Source organism: Homo sapiens, chromosome 18 (assembly GCF_000001405.40).
Source record: "Homo sapiens chromosome 18, GRCh38.p14 Primary Assembly".
NCBI lineage: Eukaryota > Metazoa > Chordata > Mammalia > Primates > Hominidae > Homo > Homo sapiens.
In genome coordinates this window covers 69,730,167-69,748,395 of record NC_000018.10, presented here as the reverse complement: position 1 = coordinate 69,748,395, position 18,229 = coordinate 69,730,167, and the positions used below count along the sequence as shown (strand labels likewise).

Here is an 18,229-nt window from a genome sequence, read left to right as displayed (position 1 = left end):
TTATCAGGTCCACTTGATCCAGAGCTGAGTTCAAGTCGTGAATATCTTAAGTTTCTGTCTCGGTGATCTGTCTAATATTGACAGCGGGGTGTTAAATTCTCCCACTATTATTGCATGGGAATCTAAGTCTCTTTATAGGTCTCTAAGAACTGGTTTTATGAATCTGGGTGCCCTGTATTGGGTGCGTACATATTTAGAATAGTTAGCTCTTCTTGTTAAATTGACCCCTTTACCATTATGTAATGCCCTTCTTTGTCTTTTTTGAACTTTGTTGGTTTAAAGTCTGTTTTGTCAGAAACCAGGATTGTAACCCCTGCTTTTTTGTTTTCAATTTGCTTGGTAAATTTTCCTCCACCCTTTTATTTTGAGTCTATGTGTGTCTTTGCATGTAAGATTGTTCTCTCCCTTTAATCTGGGCTTCTTGGTGATTGTTTTGACCAGTATAACATATGGTAGGTGTGACATTATGTCTGCTGTGGACATGACTTCTAAGACCCTTATGACAGCTCCTCTTCCTCTCACTTCTTCTGAGTCACCTTGTAAGGCTGCATACATGTAAGACTGCTACGGAGTGAGGAAGCTTCAAGTAACTATGTGGACAAGTCATGCAATTCAAGGTTTAAATCCTTCTTAGAAAGCCTAGCAATTTTCTTACAGATGGGAAATCAACATGCAGAAAAATTCAAGAATTTGCTCAAGGTAAATCTCAACTACAGAGCTCCCAATAGAAAACAGTTCTCTAGACTCTGAGCCCATTGCTCTTTAGACTTTGATGCTGATATCTTCTGTGGGGGGGAGGGGGCGGAGCGGAAAGAGCTTCCTCCCTAATATATTGCAATGTGGACATTCTACCCTTATCCCTTGAGAAGACCTAAGTTACTAGGAAGGTGGGGCTGACAAATGTTGGGAATTTTATGAAGGTATTGGCAACCCACACCTCTTCATGCTTTTGCCAAAAATATGACCTTAGGTAATCTTACTGTCTCTGAAATTTTTTCCTTTGTTGATTTGAGGCTTTTCTTCCCCCTGTGATGAACATTGATGCTAATTTGTGTTCATTTACATAAAATTCATTTGTATAAAAAAACTGTTAACTGACTTTCCTTTTGCTCTTTATCTCTCTAGTGATTGCCTAAAAATTAAAAATTGGATTAGCAGTTGAGACAAATCTATATACAACTGAGAGAGAAGAAATTCAGCATTTATAAATTGACATTTATGAGCCATTCTCTATGTGCCTGGCAATGTGCAAATTGGTTTCATATATTATACTACTGAATATTCACATAAATTGTCAACAAATATGCCATCTGAACTTTACAGACAAGGACAATGAGGTACAGAGGGATAATATAATTTGTTCATGGTGACACGGCTAATGAGAGATGGCTCTGAGGTTTCAGAGTCTTGATATTCTTCCCTCTTCCCCATGACTCACTGTAAAATACATTACTGGATCTCTCTTCTCCAGGATACAGATAAGATGAGAATTACACCAATTGGGTAAATTTCACAAAACCAGAGCAGGAATGCGAGTGCCTGTTTCTCATGTTCAAGACAGAACACCTTCTCATGTTCAAGAAGAACACCAATTGGCTTATCACAGACTTGGCTTAATTTTCAATAAGGGACACCTCACCCTTAATCTTCCATTTTATTCAAGATAAATGGAAAGGAATTAGAAGATACCATGCTAGGTCTGTACCAGAATGACAAATAAAAGGTAATATTTACATGGTCATTGAATGAAAGTTGCTAGATGTCATTTAATTGAACTTTGTAGGATATTTTCATTAAACCTGAAGAAATGAGTGTTATTGTATATTTCAAATCATGTATTGGCCAGGTGCGGTGGCTCATGCCTGTAATCCTAGCACTTTGGGAGGCCAAACTGGGCAGATTGCCTGAGCTCAGGAGTTTGAGACCAGCCTGGGAAACATGGCAAAATGCTCTCTACTAAAATACAAAAAATTAGCCAGGCGTGACGGCATGTGCCTGTAATTCTAGCTACTGGGGAGGCTGAGGCACGAGAATTGCTTGAAACTAGGAGGTAGAGAGCCAAGATCATGTCACTGCACTCCATCCTGGGCAACAGTGAGACTCTGTCTCTAAATGAATAAATAAATAAATAATTAAATAAATAAAATCATGTATGGACCAAAATACTTTCAGGAAGTCTGAAAATAAGCTGAGTTTGAGAATAACAGCAGAAACTGTCATTCACTTTCAACATCATTTCCGTCTGCAATCAGTAATGCATTTAACAACATGTATATTCTTAATCTCTCTATTATCTCTATTTCTGTTTATCTATTTGTAAGTAAGACACATTTACAGAGCTGCTCTTTGAATAAAAGGAACATGATAAATACACATAAAACGTTAAATTTCTTAGTGATTTAAAATCAAATTTTGGGCTCTTTCTAAATTAAAAAAATGTAAATATCTAGAGGCTATCGTTAAGTTCATAAAATTAATTTCCAATATCTGCACGTAATGAAAGCTGGGATGAATTTTTAGTGATGGTTAAAACAGTTTTTCCCACTTAAAGCTAAATTTTCTTGCTAGCCATCTTATGAATTAGCTCATAATTACTGAGCTTTTACTAAAGACCAGGTGGTGTTCTAACACTGTGAAGTACATATTATGATATCATTGTGCTTCACTCAACACCTTTTAAGTACAGGTAACTGAAGCACAGAGAACGTAACTTGCCCAAGGTCACATAGCTCTGTTGTAGTCTCCCTGGAATCAATCTCTGAAATCCTACTGTGTTTCTTCTACAATCTGCATCTGTGTTCACTGAACACATCCCAGGAACTGACACTTCCTATCACATTCACTGGATGTGGCCTTCATTATCCTCCCAGGCAATGCTTATATCAACTCCTTAGATTTTCGTGGCCTACATTTAAAAAATACTTCTGTTTTATAGCATTGTTCCAAAGAAAAGATAGTCTGAGCCATTGGGTTATATGTGTGTATGTTGTCATAATGTCTGTATGTTGGGTCATTTTGATGAACCTTTTGAAATCTGTTATTTTCATTTAAGAAAACTATCCTTGTGCAGCTTTCTTTATATTGTTCAGTTCCAGCAAAGCAAAGAATCAAAACTGTATTTTTTTAAACACAGAAATTGCAATATTTTGTGTTAGGCAATGATTTTTCTTACACAGAACCAACTCTGATCTATTTGATTTACATTTGAGAAGTACATACATGTACATACATACATACATGAAATGCATTTTCTGAAGTGACATCTAAAATATCAATTTTAAGGAAACAAGTTTTAAGAAAAAAGAACATGATAGTCTAATTTTTACTCACATCATGCAAGAACACCACTGGTTAGATAAATTACACATTGCTTTCTCACTATCTCTACCTCCTTCGTGTCCTTACGCAGAGATACATGTTTCTCCTTGGGCATGTGTATGTGTGGGTGTTTTTTTTTTTTTTTTTTTTTTAGATGGAGTGTTGCTACTGTTACCCAGGCTGGAGTACAATGATGTGATCTCTGCTCACCGCAACCTCTGCCTCCCAGGTTCAAGTGAGTCTCCTGCCTCAGCCTCCTAAGTAGCTGGGATTACAGGCACCCGTCACCACGCCCAGCTAACTTTTTGTATTTTTAGTAGAGACAGGGTTTCACCATGTTGGCCAGGCTGGTCTTGAACTCCTGACCTCAAGTGATCTGTCCGCCTCGGCCTCCCAAAGTGCAGGGGTTACAGGCGTGAGCCACCCCGCCCAGCCAAGTGAGGTTTTGTTGTTGTTGTTTAGACTAAATTTTCTTTAGTGTTCTGAAACTGAACAACAGTAAGTGAATTGATTAATTGGGATCACAGATCCATTTTCACATTTTCATTATCAACCATAATAATTTGTTCTAATTCAGCTTGTGTTGTTTCATCGCAATCCATGACTATCAGTAAAAAAAGAAAAAAAATCACAAATATGCAAATGTGATCACTCTCAGCAATCAAAAGCTCTAATCTTATGATTAACATTGGTAATATTGAGTGATAAAATCATGAATAGAACTCTGAATAATAACTGTATTTGCAGTTATTCTTTTTTTTTTTTTTTGATACGGAGTCCTGCTCTGTTGCCCAGGCTGGAATGCAATGGTGCGATCTCGGCTCACTGCAACCTCCGCCTCCCGGGTTCAAGCAATTCTCCTACCTCAGCCTCCTGAGTAGCTGGGATTACAGGCACCCACCACCACACCAGCTAATTTTTGTATTTTTAGTAGAGACGGGGTTTAACCATGTTGGCCAGGCTGGTCTTGAACTCCTGACCTCAGGTGATCCACCTGCCTTGGCCTCCCAATGTTCTTTCTTTTTCTGTCCACCAGAGCTTAGGAAAATCACAGGATTGACAGCTCTGGAGGGCAGCCCATTTGACAAGTCCCACTGATGATGTTTTTAAGGCATTAGACAAAGTCTTGATATCTTCCTGGCGTTTCAACAGCACTCATGCTATTTGTCCTTACACTGTATACAGAGCTTTTCTGGTGAGCAGGAGATGGGGATTACAGAACAGGAGCATCCTAAATGCTGTTTTTTTTTTTTTTTTAATACACTGAAATTCTCATTTTGTGAGGGTGTTTGTATACAAATGTTTTTAAATTACTTGCAATGTTAGAAGATTGGAAATTACTGACAATCCCCCCCACACTTCTTTTTGCTTACTTATTTTGGATATAGCAGAAAAAAAAAATCTTTTTTTTTCTCATTCTTGTCTTCTCAACTGCTCTTTACATGTGAGCATTTTATAATAAATTGCTTTAGAACATAAAAGGCACATTTTAAAAGAAAGCACCTTTCATTTAATGTGCATGTGTGTGCATGTAAAGCAGATCCATGAAAATCTAAAATTAAATTATTTCAATCCAGTTGAGGCCGTGTCCATGATGATTTCAGCCTGTACTCAACCTTAACAGGCTAAGTCACATGGGAGCATTTGTGATACAGTTTCTGATGAGTGGCTTCTATCACAGTGTCAAAACTTTTTTTGATAATGTTGCACATGCATGTCAAACCATCTACAGATACTTTTGGCAATGGAATCCAAAGAACTCTGCTAGCTCTGAGAACAAGAATGATCTCTGTGAAATGGAAACATTTCTAGAGATGAACATATCGTGTTCAAATATCTAGCTTTAATCATTTTCTCAAATATTTGAAACATATTCCTCAAAAATAGTTCCAGTTTAATATGTATTACCCTAGCTTAATTCTCCCATGTATCTTCAAACTCTTTTAAAATTAGACTGGTTTGTAGTTTGAAAATGAAGAAGGTATAGAGACTCCTTAAGATTGCTGTCTCCTTTTCTGCCAAGACCAGTTTCTGATTCTCACTTGGAGGCAGGAATGAGAAGCTGTTGCTGTACCTCTGAATGCAAAATGGCAAGCATGTCATCTTCTAATACAGAGATCATTCTATGGAGGGCCGACTCCAATAAGTTGATTATCCCAATAATCTGTCAGGCTCTTGCCATGACAATATGAACAAGCTCAAATGGTGTATTTATTATCATGTAGCAAAATTCAATGATGGTGATGTCTTACCCATACATACATTGAGGTATGGAAAACTTTTGATATTTCAAGGAGTCAAAGGACATGCAATAATCTTGTTCTGAGCAGTACAAATTATTTGATCCCACACAATTCTGGGCTACTTGAGAAGGAACTTTCTTGCTCTCCTCTTGTATTTCCCTGTACCACTGTGCAGGGTACTCAGCATAGTGCAAGCACTTTATAATCTTGTGAATGGTTAATAAACCAATAACCTCTCCTTAATATGTTGTCAGTTAATATTAATTTTTTATTCTTCTCAGTGAAGGAAATCAAGACATTCACTTCTAATTATCTTACCAATTTAGTGGTTCTTTTGTCCAGTTACTTTTGAGTGGCAAATGCAATGTTTTCTCACAATGTTGATAAATTTTTCTTTTTCTTTTTCTTTTTTTTTTTTTTGAGATGGAGTTTCACTCTTGTTGCCCAAGCTAGAGTGCAATGGCACGAACTCGGCTCACTGCAACCTCTGCCTCCTGGGTTCAAGCGATTCTCCTGCCTCAGCCTCCTGAGTAGCTGGGATTACAGGCATGTGCCACCATGCCTGGCTAATTTTGTATTTTTAGTAGAGACAGGGTTTCTCCATGTTGGTTGGGCTGGTCTCAAACTCCTGACCTCAGCTGATCTGCCTGCCTCGGCCTCCTAAAGTGCTGGGATTACAGGCATGAGCCACCGTGCCTGGCCAGTGCTGAGAAATTTTTCTAAACATCAAATTCTTCAAGCAAGAATAGAAATGTCCTAATTCAGACTATGGATATATGTCAAATATGTTTATTCATGTGGCCCCCCAAAGAAAGTGGGTTATAAACAAGGGCAAAATAAGGTCTTATATGGTGTGAAAAGATCATATTGAATTTTCTTTCATAGTAAGAAATGGTTGTTGAGACATTATTTCTCATTTGAGTTTTTTTATCCAACTTTCAAGTTACAATTTTGTTATTTTAAATAGTAAATGAAGAGTTAGAGAGTATTTAAACACTCTTTCATACTTGTTGGAAATTTTTGTATAAGAGTTTTCTGTGGCCAGGCATGGTGGTCATGCCTGTATTCCTAGCACTTTGGGAGACCAAGGAAGTTGGACTGCTTGAACCCAGGAGTTCAACACCAGCCTGGGCAACACAGTAAGACCCCGTCTCTATAAAAAATACAAAAATTGGCTAGGAATAGTGGTGCAGGCCTGTAGTACCAGCTAGTTGGGGGCTGAGGCTGGAGGACTGCTTGAGCCCAGGAGGTTGAGGCTGCAGTGAGCTGTGTTCACATCATTACACTCTGGCCCGGGTGACAGAGCGAGACCCTGTCTCAAAAAACAACAGCAACAAAGAAAAGTTTTGTGCATGTTGAGGTATCTATAAAAAAATTGTATCTGGAGAACTGGAAAACTTTGCTTTTGGTTGTAGTATTTTGGAAATTTAGGCATTTATCAACTTGAGGCAGCTTGCACTTGGAAAGGATTAGTTCAGTTTACTCTGAAGAACAAATTAGCCATGGAGTAGTTCTTACTAGCATTAACCTGCAGAGAAAAGCATAGTTGGAAATTATTTCTGAATTAAATCAAACACTCTATTGACATGTATGGGCCAAGTGATGGAGTCTCTGATTTTGTAATTTCTAGAAACATTTTGTTTCTCTGTTGAGCCTTGCTGAGCCTGCTGTTTAAACATTTGTTGCGCTCTCCCTTCTATCTCTGTCTCAGCACTGATATTGGCACCCACGCCTGTGGTGTACACCCTGGCTTTAGACTGCCTGTGGTTACATTGACTGGATCCATTATCTCATCTCTGAGCCATTAAAAGCAATTACTTGGCTCCATTCCTTTGACTTGCTTCTCAGTGGCACAGGACACGAGAAACATACAACAACATCAACAACAAAAGTGAATTAAGTTTTGTTTAGCAAATATTTTGGCACAACATTGTTAGAAATACTTGAAAGATTGTGAAGGATATTATGTAGCCATAATAGCAACTCTTATAACTATACAATGTCACTCCGACATCACCGTCATCCATAATGAACACTTTCATGGTACTTCTATGTGCTTGGTCTGATTCTCAGCACTTTATGTAGATGAATGCGCAGAAACCTCATAACAACCAAATGAGTAGAACTATTACATGCCCTTGTTACAGATAAAGGAAAACCAGAGTTAAATAATTTGCCCAAGATTATACAGCCAGTAAGTGGTGGTGTTGGGATGCAAGCCCAGAGCACCAACGGGGTACTCTTCTTTATGGCAGATAATTACAGTATGTGAAAGAGCTCTTGGAATTTCCATCATTAAAATATAATTTAAATCACTCTATGAGCTTTTGCTTGTTTAAAACAACTATAAGTAAAGAAGTACAGAGGTTAACTAATAGCAAGTGACATCATGGTTAGCCCCATGGTAAATCTTGGTTGAAAACAAGCACCAGCAGATTGAAAATATGGGCTGATGATCAATATGCATGACTCTGAAATAATTTGAAATTTGATAGTTATATTTTTCCACTTGATTTTAATCGCTAGAAAAACATCACGTTGATTAGATAATTGTTACAATGGTTTAAAGTTAACCCAAATCTTTCTAGAAGTTTGTTTTACCAGCCCTCTCTAATTGATGATTCTTCAGTCAACCCCACAGTCTCATCCTAATCATCCTACAAATGCTGAAGCTACTCTTTCATTTCCATGGGGAGTCCAATGCCCTGTGTTGCCCTTTCCCTCCTGAGGTGTTAGGAAGGCTCTTTTTTAACCGTACCCCAGATGGAGAGAGAAATATAGTATTGAGAAAGTTAAAAGTGCATTAAGAGTAAAATATGATCATTTAAGCTACTTCTGTTCTCTTTCTTTTAAAAATATTTATTTTATACTTCAAAATGTTTCATAGAATTTTAGAGATAAAAACTAAAATAATAGTAATATGAAACTTTCTTAAACTACAATAGACTTACTGATGTTTCACAAAGAGAATTATAGATGCTTCCCAAACACTACCTGTCCTTCTATAGATGAACTCTGATGCATCTTTATAAATCCTAGAGAAAAAACAATACTCATCTCTTAAGATCATAATCAATAGTCATTTCATTGTTTGCTTTTTCAAGCAAATTAGTAATAAAGCTTATAATTATTTTTCAGCTTGTCATATTAATAAAATTTACTACTTTAGATTCTTTACTAGATTATTTTTTAGCTTGATCCTAAAACTGGACTACAGTTCCAGGACAAGATGATAGACAAATTATTCTATTGTCAACCAGCATAACCTCCTTCTGTAAACATTTTATTATACATACAGGAAGAGCTAGAACTTTTAGAGCACCTAGGATAAACATAAAGGTTAAAAAATAAAGTGGAACCCTTCCTGGTGAGAACTTAATTTTCCTAGTTATTTTGAGCCCATATTTAAATCTGATTGTCCAACTGTATGTGGGGACATGCAGACAGCATTGCTTCTTATTTCATGCAATCTACTCTCTGACATCCAAGGCAACAGGTCTTACATAGGTAGATGCCAGAAGTGCAGGGCTCACAGTTGGTGGCCACAATAACTTCTTTTTTGACATATTGAATAGGATATTAGAGAGATGAGAGGGTAGGGTAAGCCCTCAGGATCAGGGCAGGGTGGACACCCAGGCGCTGACATGAATGGCCCCACACATACACAGTGTACATCAGATCCCAGTGACATTCATTTCCAAGCTGATAGGTTACCAAGGAAGGGGCCTTACCCGGGCCTTCTGTTCCATTTCTAGCATTAATCTTTCATGTTGCTCAGCTATGGCCAGTGTCGCAGAATGAACCTTCTGATAGATCATTTCTCCTTCCCTTGTTTGAAAAGTGAATAGTCCTTCTCCTGTGTCACACATTCTGTGAGAATAGAGATAGGGAAAGAGATGGGTCTCCATGTGTTCAAGTGCATAACAGTTTTCCACGTAGACAAAGCCCTTGCCCTTGTGCCTCCTCCTCCTGACCTCCACAGGAGTTAGTGAGGCTGATTCAGCCGTAACCAAACCAACCAAAAAGTGCATCTTTATATGGTACATGAAAATGGAAATAAAAATAAAAATCCATGTATATTTGGATGTTTAAAAAGGAAGCATTCACAACAGTGTAAAGGAACAGAAAAAAAAGGTGATTTAGGCAATGACAGTGGATGCTTTCCAATATTTAAATGAATTAGTGTTTTTATCTGCCATTATGACATAGACTATCATGATACAATATGGGCAAACTGTTATGCAGTTATCACCATGTCATTTCTGAGAGCATTAAAATTCTTATGTCAATTCAGGGAAAAATCAGAATGCAAATTCTTTTTTCAACTATCTAATTAGAATTACTTTTTAAAAACATTTTTTTTAATTAGGAAAACTCCACTGACAAGTTGTTATTCAATAGGATTATAGGTAAGTTTTATTAACAAAGGCTAACTCTAAAATGGAAAACATTTTAATATTTTAAGCTAGCTTTTAAGAAAGTCTTCAGAAAGACCCACCCAATATCAATATGTTAATATTTTGGATATTGGATATTAATTGGATTTCTGTGTTGCTGATTTTTCAGATTACAACATCAAGCGATTTTCAAGTTATAACATAAAAATATTCATGAGGATAACTATTTCTTTAAGCACCAAAAAGATTTTAGATTCTTCTCTATGATTCTCCAAAGAGTTTTCAATAGAAAAGAAATGTCTCAAGAGGCTTCCGACATTACAGAGGCTGCAACTGTGATCCCTTAGGGCCCTATAGAGCCAGCACTTAGCTTCTCTGAAAGAGATCTTAATAAAATTCACACAGCGTGAAATGGAAAGTCTGGGGGAAAAATGAAGAGTTTTCACAAAGTGAAACAAATGAGCTTTCTTTGTTGATTCAGAGGAGTAAGGAGCAGCAGCAACAAAACCATTGATAAGTAGCGAGTGCATCTTGTTTGAGGTTGAGCTTTGTTCATAGTCATCTGAAAAACAGTACTTATTAGCCTTTGGAAATGAGATAATGAAGACACAAATTGTTATGTCACACTCGGTCATTGAGATGTAAAGGTCGAGTGCTTGTCCACTTCCTGGGATTTGACTCTGCCCCGCGCAAGAGCTTGCATGCTTACAGGAGGGATTTTTGTCTCTGAAGTAAAAACTACTGTAAACTTCATCCTTTGATCATGAAATAAGGCATCTAAAACAGCATAAAAAGCAAAGAAACTTTAGGTAGAAGATGTTCTTTCTTCAGTGTTTGTACCTAAGCCTAGATGAAGGTCATATTTATGATTTTTTGTCAGCCATGTTGGAATAAATGGGCTAGGTGATAGGGTTTGGCTCTGTGTCCCCATCCAAATCTCATCCCAAATTGTAATCCCCATGTGTCCAGGGAGGGACCTGTAATCCCCACATGTGGAGGGAGGGAGGTGAATGGATCAGGGGGCAGTTTCTCCCATGCTGCTCTCCTGATATTGAACGAGTTCTCGCGAGATCTGATGGTTTTTAAGTGTTTGGAAGTTCTTCCTTTGCTCTTCTCTCTCCTGCCACCATGTGAAGAAGGTCCCTGCTTCCGTTTCACCTTCTGCCATGATGGTAAGTTTCCTGAGGCCTCCACAGCCATGTGCAACTAAGTCAATTAAACCTCTTTCCTTTGTAAATTATCCAGTCTTGGGTATTTCTTTGTAGGAGTGTGAAAATGCACTAATACTCTAGGTTTCCCTTATTATTTAAAATGTGTTCTTTTGGGGCTGTTAGGGAACAGATAGACTGTTTCATATCTGTCTAAACAGTCTTGTGGTAACAAGCCAATACTAGAGAATGTAATTAGGAGAAAGAGGAAATAATTTAGATGGCATTTGACTTGCTCCTCAAAGCATGGTCCACGGATCAGTAGCATCTGCCTCCCTGGGAGCTTGTCCAGACCATCAGATCTAAATCTGCATTTAACACACCCCAAGGTGACTCACATGCACATTATGTTTGTTGATGACTAGACTCCAGAACCTTCTCCACAGGTCACCATTTCATTGAAGATGAGTGGGAGATGACACATGAGACCCACAGGAGGACATATTAGAAGACGTATTTGCACAACTTTTTAAGACTGTGATATATAAAACTAATATTATAAATAAATATGTCAAAAAGGGCAAATGAACCCAAAGAATTATTTCCTTAACTTGGGAAAAGCTAAAACATAGGTGTTACAGTTGAACCCCCAATTCCCTTGCCAACAAGATGCATATTCCTCAATTGCATTTATTTTGTGAAACAGGGAAAATATGGATGACGTGTGTTTGTCCTGACTTCAAACTAGAATTCTATTGATGTTTGTAGACAATTGCAATTGTAATCTCTTTATATCTAACAATGTCTTTGTACAAAATGAATGTTTTTTTTCTTATCTAAAATAGGATGTTGGATAATATAATCTCTAAGGTTTCTTTCAGCTCTGAGGAATATTCTAGGGCCTCATAAAAATTCTAAGAGGTAAACAGAACTGGGACACTTGTTTCCAGAATTTTCTTTGTTTTTGTTTGTTTTCAACATTGTGATATAGGGAAATTATAACAATATAGGATTCAAAAGACTAGGGCACCGATTTCAACCACAATGCTCTAGCCTGTCATATAAATGTATCATATAATTTTCAAGTAGCTACTATAACCTAGGCACTGTTTTGGGCCTGGGAACTGAATAGGAGGGAAAAATATATATGGCCTATTGCTTCTGAGGCTTTTGAGTAGTCAGGAAAGGCCAGCAAGAATCACAAACTTACTGTGATATGTGCTACCAGGGAGAAGTACAGGGCCATGAGGAGGACAACTGGGGATCAATCTGAGCCAGTTATTTTACCTATTAACTTCTCACCTATAAAATTGGCAACAAGAATTTATCAGTTTGTTTTTAATTAAATGAAGTAATATATGTGATAGTGGGCAGGAAGGGGTTAACTTAGCAGGCACCAGTTGGTTATTCAAACCCTGCACATTCTCCATTCCTATTTTTAGGATAGGCCTATGGCTGGCTTCTGGGATTTGATTTCTGGGGCCTTTGGAATATTCTGCCTGTTTCTGTAAGTCTGAGACCTTGGGCCATGCTATACCCATTTGACCAGATACATTAATCCCAACAAGGGACAGCCTAGCGGGGATGCCTGTTTTTACTCTGATGCAGCCTGGAGCCTGAATAGCTGAGTCAGTCCTGGGGGTGCTGCATGCCTACATGACTGACCCCCAATAAAAACCTTGGACATCAAGGCTCAGGGGAGCTTCTCTGGTTTATGGCACTGCATGTGTTGTCACACGTCATTGCTGGGAGAATTAAGGGTGTCCCCATGCAACCCCACTGGGAGGGGCCTTGGAAGGTTTTGCCTGGTCTCTCCTGGCCTTTATCCCTTGTGACTTTTCCCTTTGCTGATTTTAATCTTATTTCTCACTGTGGTGATACAAACTGTGAGCATAATGTGTTTTTCTGAGTCTTGTGAGTCTTCTAGAGGAGTATTGAGCTGGAGGGTGGCCTTGGGAACCCTTCCATCTGACACTGACAGCATGTGCTAAGGAGTCAATAATGCAGTAAGAGTGTAAAATTCCTAGTCTTTTCCCTAAATGTCTGTTTGTCAAATTACATTCCTCTATGGAATCTAAGAGAATATCCTCTTTATCCAGCCTCACCACTTGCATCCAGAATCACTTGAGATAACAGTACTGTCAGACTTATCTGTTATGTTCTAACAAATAAAAAATAACCAGGGATCATGTGGATGTATATATTTGAAGGAAACCGAACTCCAGAGGAGGTGCTCCACTATTCATGGTTCTCTTAGTTGCCTTCAAGGGCAGAATCAGCCCTAACATGGTGCGTGGAGGAATTTTCTGGAGAAAATATTACTAGCATTGAACTACTAGACCACGCCCTCTTTTTCTTGTCTGTAACTCTCAAACTTGGCTCTCTATGAAGGCGTGACTTTGAAATGCCACTCTTTCTTCCCACATGATGTGTGAAAGAAATTTACCAAGTCAAAAATTATGGAGACATTTTACTTAAAGTAAGTGTAGATACTTTAAGATAATTTTTTGTGGGTCTATAGATAAAACTTTGCTACAGATGAATTAGTTGACATCTGGCAATTTTGTCCATCTTCACAGCTGTATAATTTCATTGTCACTGTAAGTTTTGCAATATTGTGTACATATTTAATAACCAAATATTTAGTCTCTGTGAACACAGAAATTTTAAACTCTCAGTAATGGGGTAGAGTAGGAGCATGTTCCTAAAAACCCAGTGGTATTTCTATTCAGTATTTAAAATTTAACGTTTAATTATAGAACATAATGAAATTCTTCAAAGCACAGCTTTTCCACAGAGCAGTTAAAACCAATTAACACTTATTCTGTTAACAGTTTAATCTTTATTGTCATTTAACGATGCTAGAATTTTCCTTTTTTTTTTTTTTTTTTTTTTTGCTGCTATGAAAAGATTGGTTACTCTGAGTCAGACTTTAATCTAAGAAACTCTAGGCAAAATGGACAGACAGCTTGTAAAAAACAACAGTACAGAAAAGTCAGTAAAGCAACAGTACAGAAAGTCAAGAAATAGACCCAGTTCATATAATAGTTAAACATATGGTCCAAGTAGAGTCTCAAGTCAGTTAGGGAAAGCTGACCTCTTCAATAAACTGTTGAATGGTAGTCATTTGGAAAAAAAAAAATTTGAATCCATGTATCTTCCTCCATTGATATAAATTTCAGAGAAAGCAAATGGGGAAAAAAAAGCACTACAAGAAAATATCGAAGAATTTCTACATAAACTCAGAAAGGAGAAGGGATTTCAAGCGAGGATTCAAATAAAGTCACAGAAGAAAAGATAGATGAATTTGCCGGTGAAAATATCTTTTGATATCTATTATTTTTAAAAAGTAACATAAGACAAAAACAAAAAGATTGAAACTCAAAACACTAATTCCTCTTGTTTCATCTAGCAACATATTTTAGAAATTCAACTACTGAAGACTACTCCTTTTCAGTAATAGTCGTAATAATAATAGTAGTATACAGTGAAGAATGATAAGTTACAGGGTTTTAGGGTTTACACACATTAATTTTTTAATGCTCAAAGAACTCTATGAAAAAATTATGAAAAGTATTTTTCAGGTGAAAGTAATATGTAGAGCATGCTAATGTTTGTGTAAAAAAGATGTGTGGGACAAAATTTCAGTTAAATAGGAGGAATAAGTTCAAGAGATCTATTGTCCAACATGGTGACTATAGTTAATAAAAATATATTGTATACTTAAAAATGTAAAGTGGGTGGATAAGTGTTCTCAGCATGGAAAATGATGACTATGTGAGGTGATGCATATGTTAACTAGCTAGATTTAATCATTCCACATGTTTGTATACTTCAAAATATCAGGTTGTACACAATAAATACAATTTTATGTCACTGTAAAAAATGTGCATGGGAAGAATTTATATGCATCTTTGCATGTATGTACATTAAACTCTGGAAGAATGTACAAAACCTACTAACTGTTATTTATTGGGCGTGAAGTGAAGCAGATGGGGTTTAAGTATAGAAGGAACATTTTCACTAATAAATCTTTACATAAATAATAAGGAAAGTTATAGATTTATTTAATGTAAATTAAATGAATTTTTTTTTTTTCATAGAGACAAGGTCTCACTCTATCACCCAGGCTGGAGCGCAGAGGCATAGCTCAATGCAGCCTTGAACTCCTGCGCTCAAGTAATCTGCCCACCTCAGCCTCCTGAGTAGCTGTTTGTACAGGCGTACACTGCCATGCCTCTCTCCCTCTCTCCTGCTCCACCATGGTAAGACATGCTTACTTCCCCTTCTGCCATGATTGTAAGTTTCCAGAGGCCTCCCAGCTATGTTTCCTGTTAAGCCTGTTAAAAATTGTGGGTCAAGTAAACCTGTTTTCATAAATTACCCGGTCTCGGATAATTCTTCTTAGCGGTGTGAGAATGGACTAATACACATGCCTACAAGGAAATCTTGGTTTTAGTCTGGGCTCTGCTGCCAACTAGCTTTGTGAAATGCCATTTAACCCTCTCTAAAATTCAGCTTTTAAATGAAAGAGTGAACATAAACCATATCTAAGGTACACATTTGTACTCAAACTCTACAATTCTTCCACCTGTGTACTCAGTGATGGCACAATTACAATCACATTAGTTAAAATCTATCTTTTCACATCTTTCCAAAGTTTTCATTTTACCCTATTCTGTTTATTTTTTCTTTTCTTTCTTTTACTTTAACTCAATAAGACGACTAGTTGAGTCTCCCTGAACACTCTGGAGTTTGGCTTTAGTAAATCTTTGAAAATATATACATATAAGATGCTCTTCTATTTATCTTTATGCCTCAAAAATTCAGAATCAAAAAAACCCACCATGTAAAGATGTGATGTAAGTCATAAGACTTGCATTACCTCAATATATGATCACAAATTACCATTATCCTTATTATATGGTTACATGTTAATGAGGGTTTAATGGGAAAAAAATTTTAAAAGATTGACAGATGATTTTATATTCGCCCTATATACATAGCTCCTGGAGGCTTTATTGTAAACATATCAGATATTCCCTGACAATCAGGAATTTTAACATTTTTAACTCCCAATGTTAATCACAAAAAGCACCTCGTGTACTCCTTAAATGTTGACCCAAGCAAATGAAAATTATCAATATAATGGCTAAATAAAAAGTATTGATTTTCTAGTTTCTGATAGGAAAAAAAAGCAAAACAAATTATAAAAGAAACATTGTTTTGAAGAATGGTGCCTTGGTGCTAGTGTGCTCTTCCAAATGGGGTAGATAAAACAGTTAAATACAGAGAAGTGATACGTTCTTATCCTGGGTGGAAGACTTGTTCTACTTTAAACTTGTTTGAGGGCATCTGTGTGTATCACATGGAACAGCTACTGATCTATACTCACACCTATTTTTGTGGTGAAGAGCTAATAACAAAAGAAGACAAGCAGAAACTTGAATTCTGTCATTTATGAAGTATACTTTCCTTTTAACGTGAATTTAACTGCCATGTTACGATTGGGACAGTTTTTAGTTTGTCCCAAATTTTAATAGTATTTAGTCTCTGCATTAGAGAAGAGTTATGCTTTTTTTCAACATTTTGAGGAGAACCTAACAATAAGAATTATATTTCTTCAGAGCAAAAAGAACATGTGTAATCATGTGTAATCAGGGTTTACAATTATATTCGTATTCCTCTTTTGCTTTAAATGTAGTTAAGATAATTTTTTAATTATGTGAAAGATCCTTTCAGCATTTCAACTGACCATAGAAAAAAGACGAAGTATCATAGCCAAATAGAAAATAAATATAAGACTGGATTTGATTTGACTAAGGATTGACTTTTATTCTCAGGTTACAATTATTCATTTGTCAACATATTTTTGGGCACTACCCACTTGTCTACCTGTCAGGCACTGTATTAGATTTTAGATTTTCAGAGATAACCATATTACTTTTTTCAATGGAAGATGTAATATTTTTTAAAATCATATTTTTAAAAACATAAATAGTTACCATTATCTTATGAATTATATTTGTTCTCATATATATGCATTTAACTTTTTATTTAAAAACTCAGTGAGTAGATGATTACATAAATGTATATGGAGATTAAGAACTTTTGAATTTATTACCTTATTGTGTTAGTTTTCTCTAGAGATTTTCAGTTGACAGATCACTGATAAAGTACCACATTTTTTTTAGTTGGGATTATCAAAACAAGCTACCCAGTAAAACAACAAAATACAAATCATTCTAAGATACTCGGGGCAAATACTGACTGGTATTATAAAAGATGTAGGAATATGTTTGATCTACTGAATTTTTTTTAATTTTTAACATTTTATTTTCATATATTTATTTATTGTAGAGCTAGGGTTTCTCTTGCTCAGGCTGGCCTCAAACTCCTGGGCTCAGGAGATTCTCTCACCTCCCAAAGTGCTGAGATTACAGGTGTTAGCCATCACATCCTGCCTAAACTACCAATTTTTAATTCATTTTGAAACAGAAATTAAAATTTACTGAAATCATGAACAAAATGAATCTAAGTTTTAAACATTAAAGAATTTCAAATGCAATCACCTAGATGTTCTATAATTTCAAATGTCAAATGTTCATTTCAGCTTAGTGGATTTTCAACCTTAAAATTTTAACTTCATTTTAACACATTAGATTGTATTTCTTAAAACAATCTTCATCGAAAATGTTAGTGAATAGATAGCTTGAATCACCTTCAATGTAGAAGCTAAGAAGTGGAGTAAATATCTCCCTATCAAAAATAAAAGTATCAATCAGTTTGTATTGTTCCTTGATATCTTTGATCTTCTTAGCTATATACAGTATTAGTCTCATTATAGTTCATACTAACAAATTCTAGTTTAGGAATGGACCAACCACTTCTGTTTCTCCTGCTGAATTAAGTATAAATCTGTATTATAGTACTTCTAATATCTCATTATCTTTATTTTTACATGATGTTTTCCCAACTAGACTTATCCCCTGAAAATACAAGTAGATAGGGAGGAAAATAAAACTTAGAATAAAACCTATAGAGGCTGGCAACTCAGTCCATGAAAGGGGATGTTGGTGTTTGAGACAGGGTGGTGGGTTTCCACCCAGGATCCTGCAGATGT

General features: G+C 36.4%; 1 protein-coding gene across 3 annotated transcripts in view; it reads right to left on the bottom strand.

The window, feature by feature from the left end:
* The window catches only part of DOK6 (docking protein 6), a 448,200-nt gene that overhangs the window by 100,692 nt on the left and 329,279 nt on the right, over positions 1-18,229 (bottom strand). For all 3 annotated transcript variants that reach the window (NM_152721.6, XM_017025610.2, XM_017025611.2), the window contains one exon: positions 9,293-9,431. In NM_152721.6, the coding sequence (NP_689934.2) occupies positions 9,293-9,431 (139 nt within the window). The remainder of the gene's footprint in view (positions 1-9,292; positions 9,432-18,229) is intronic.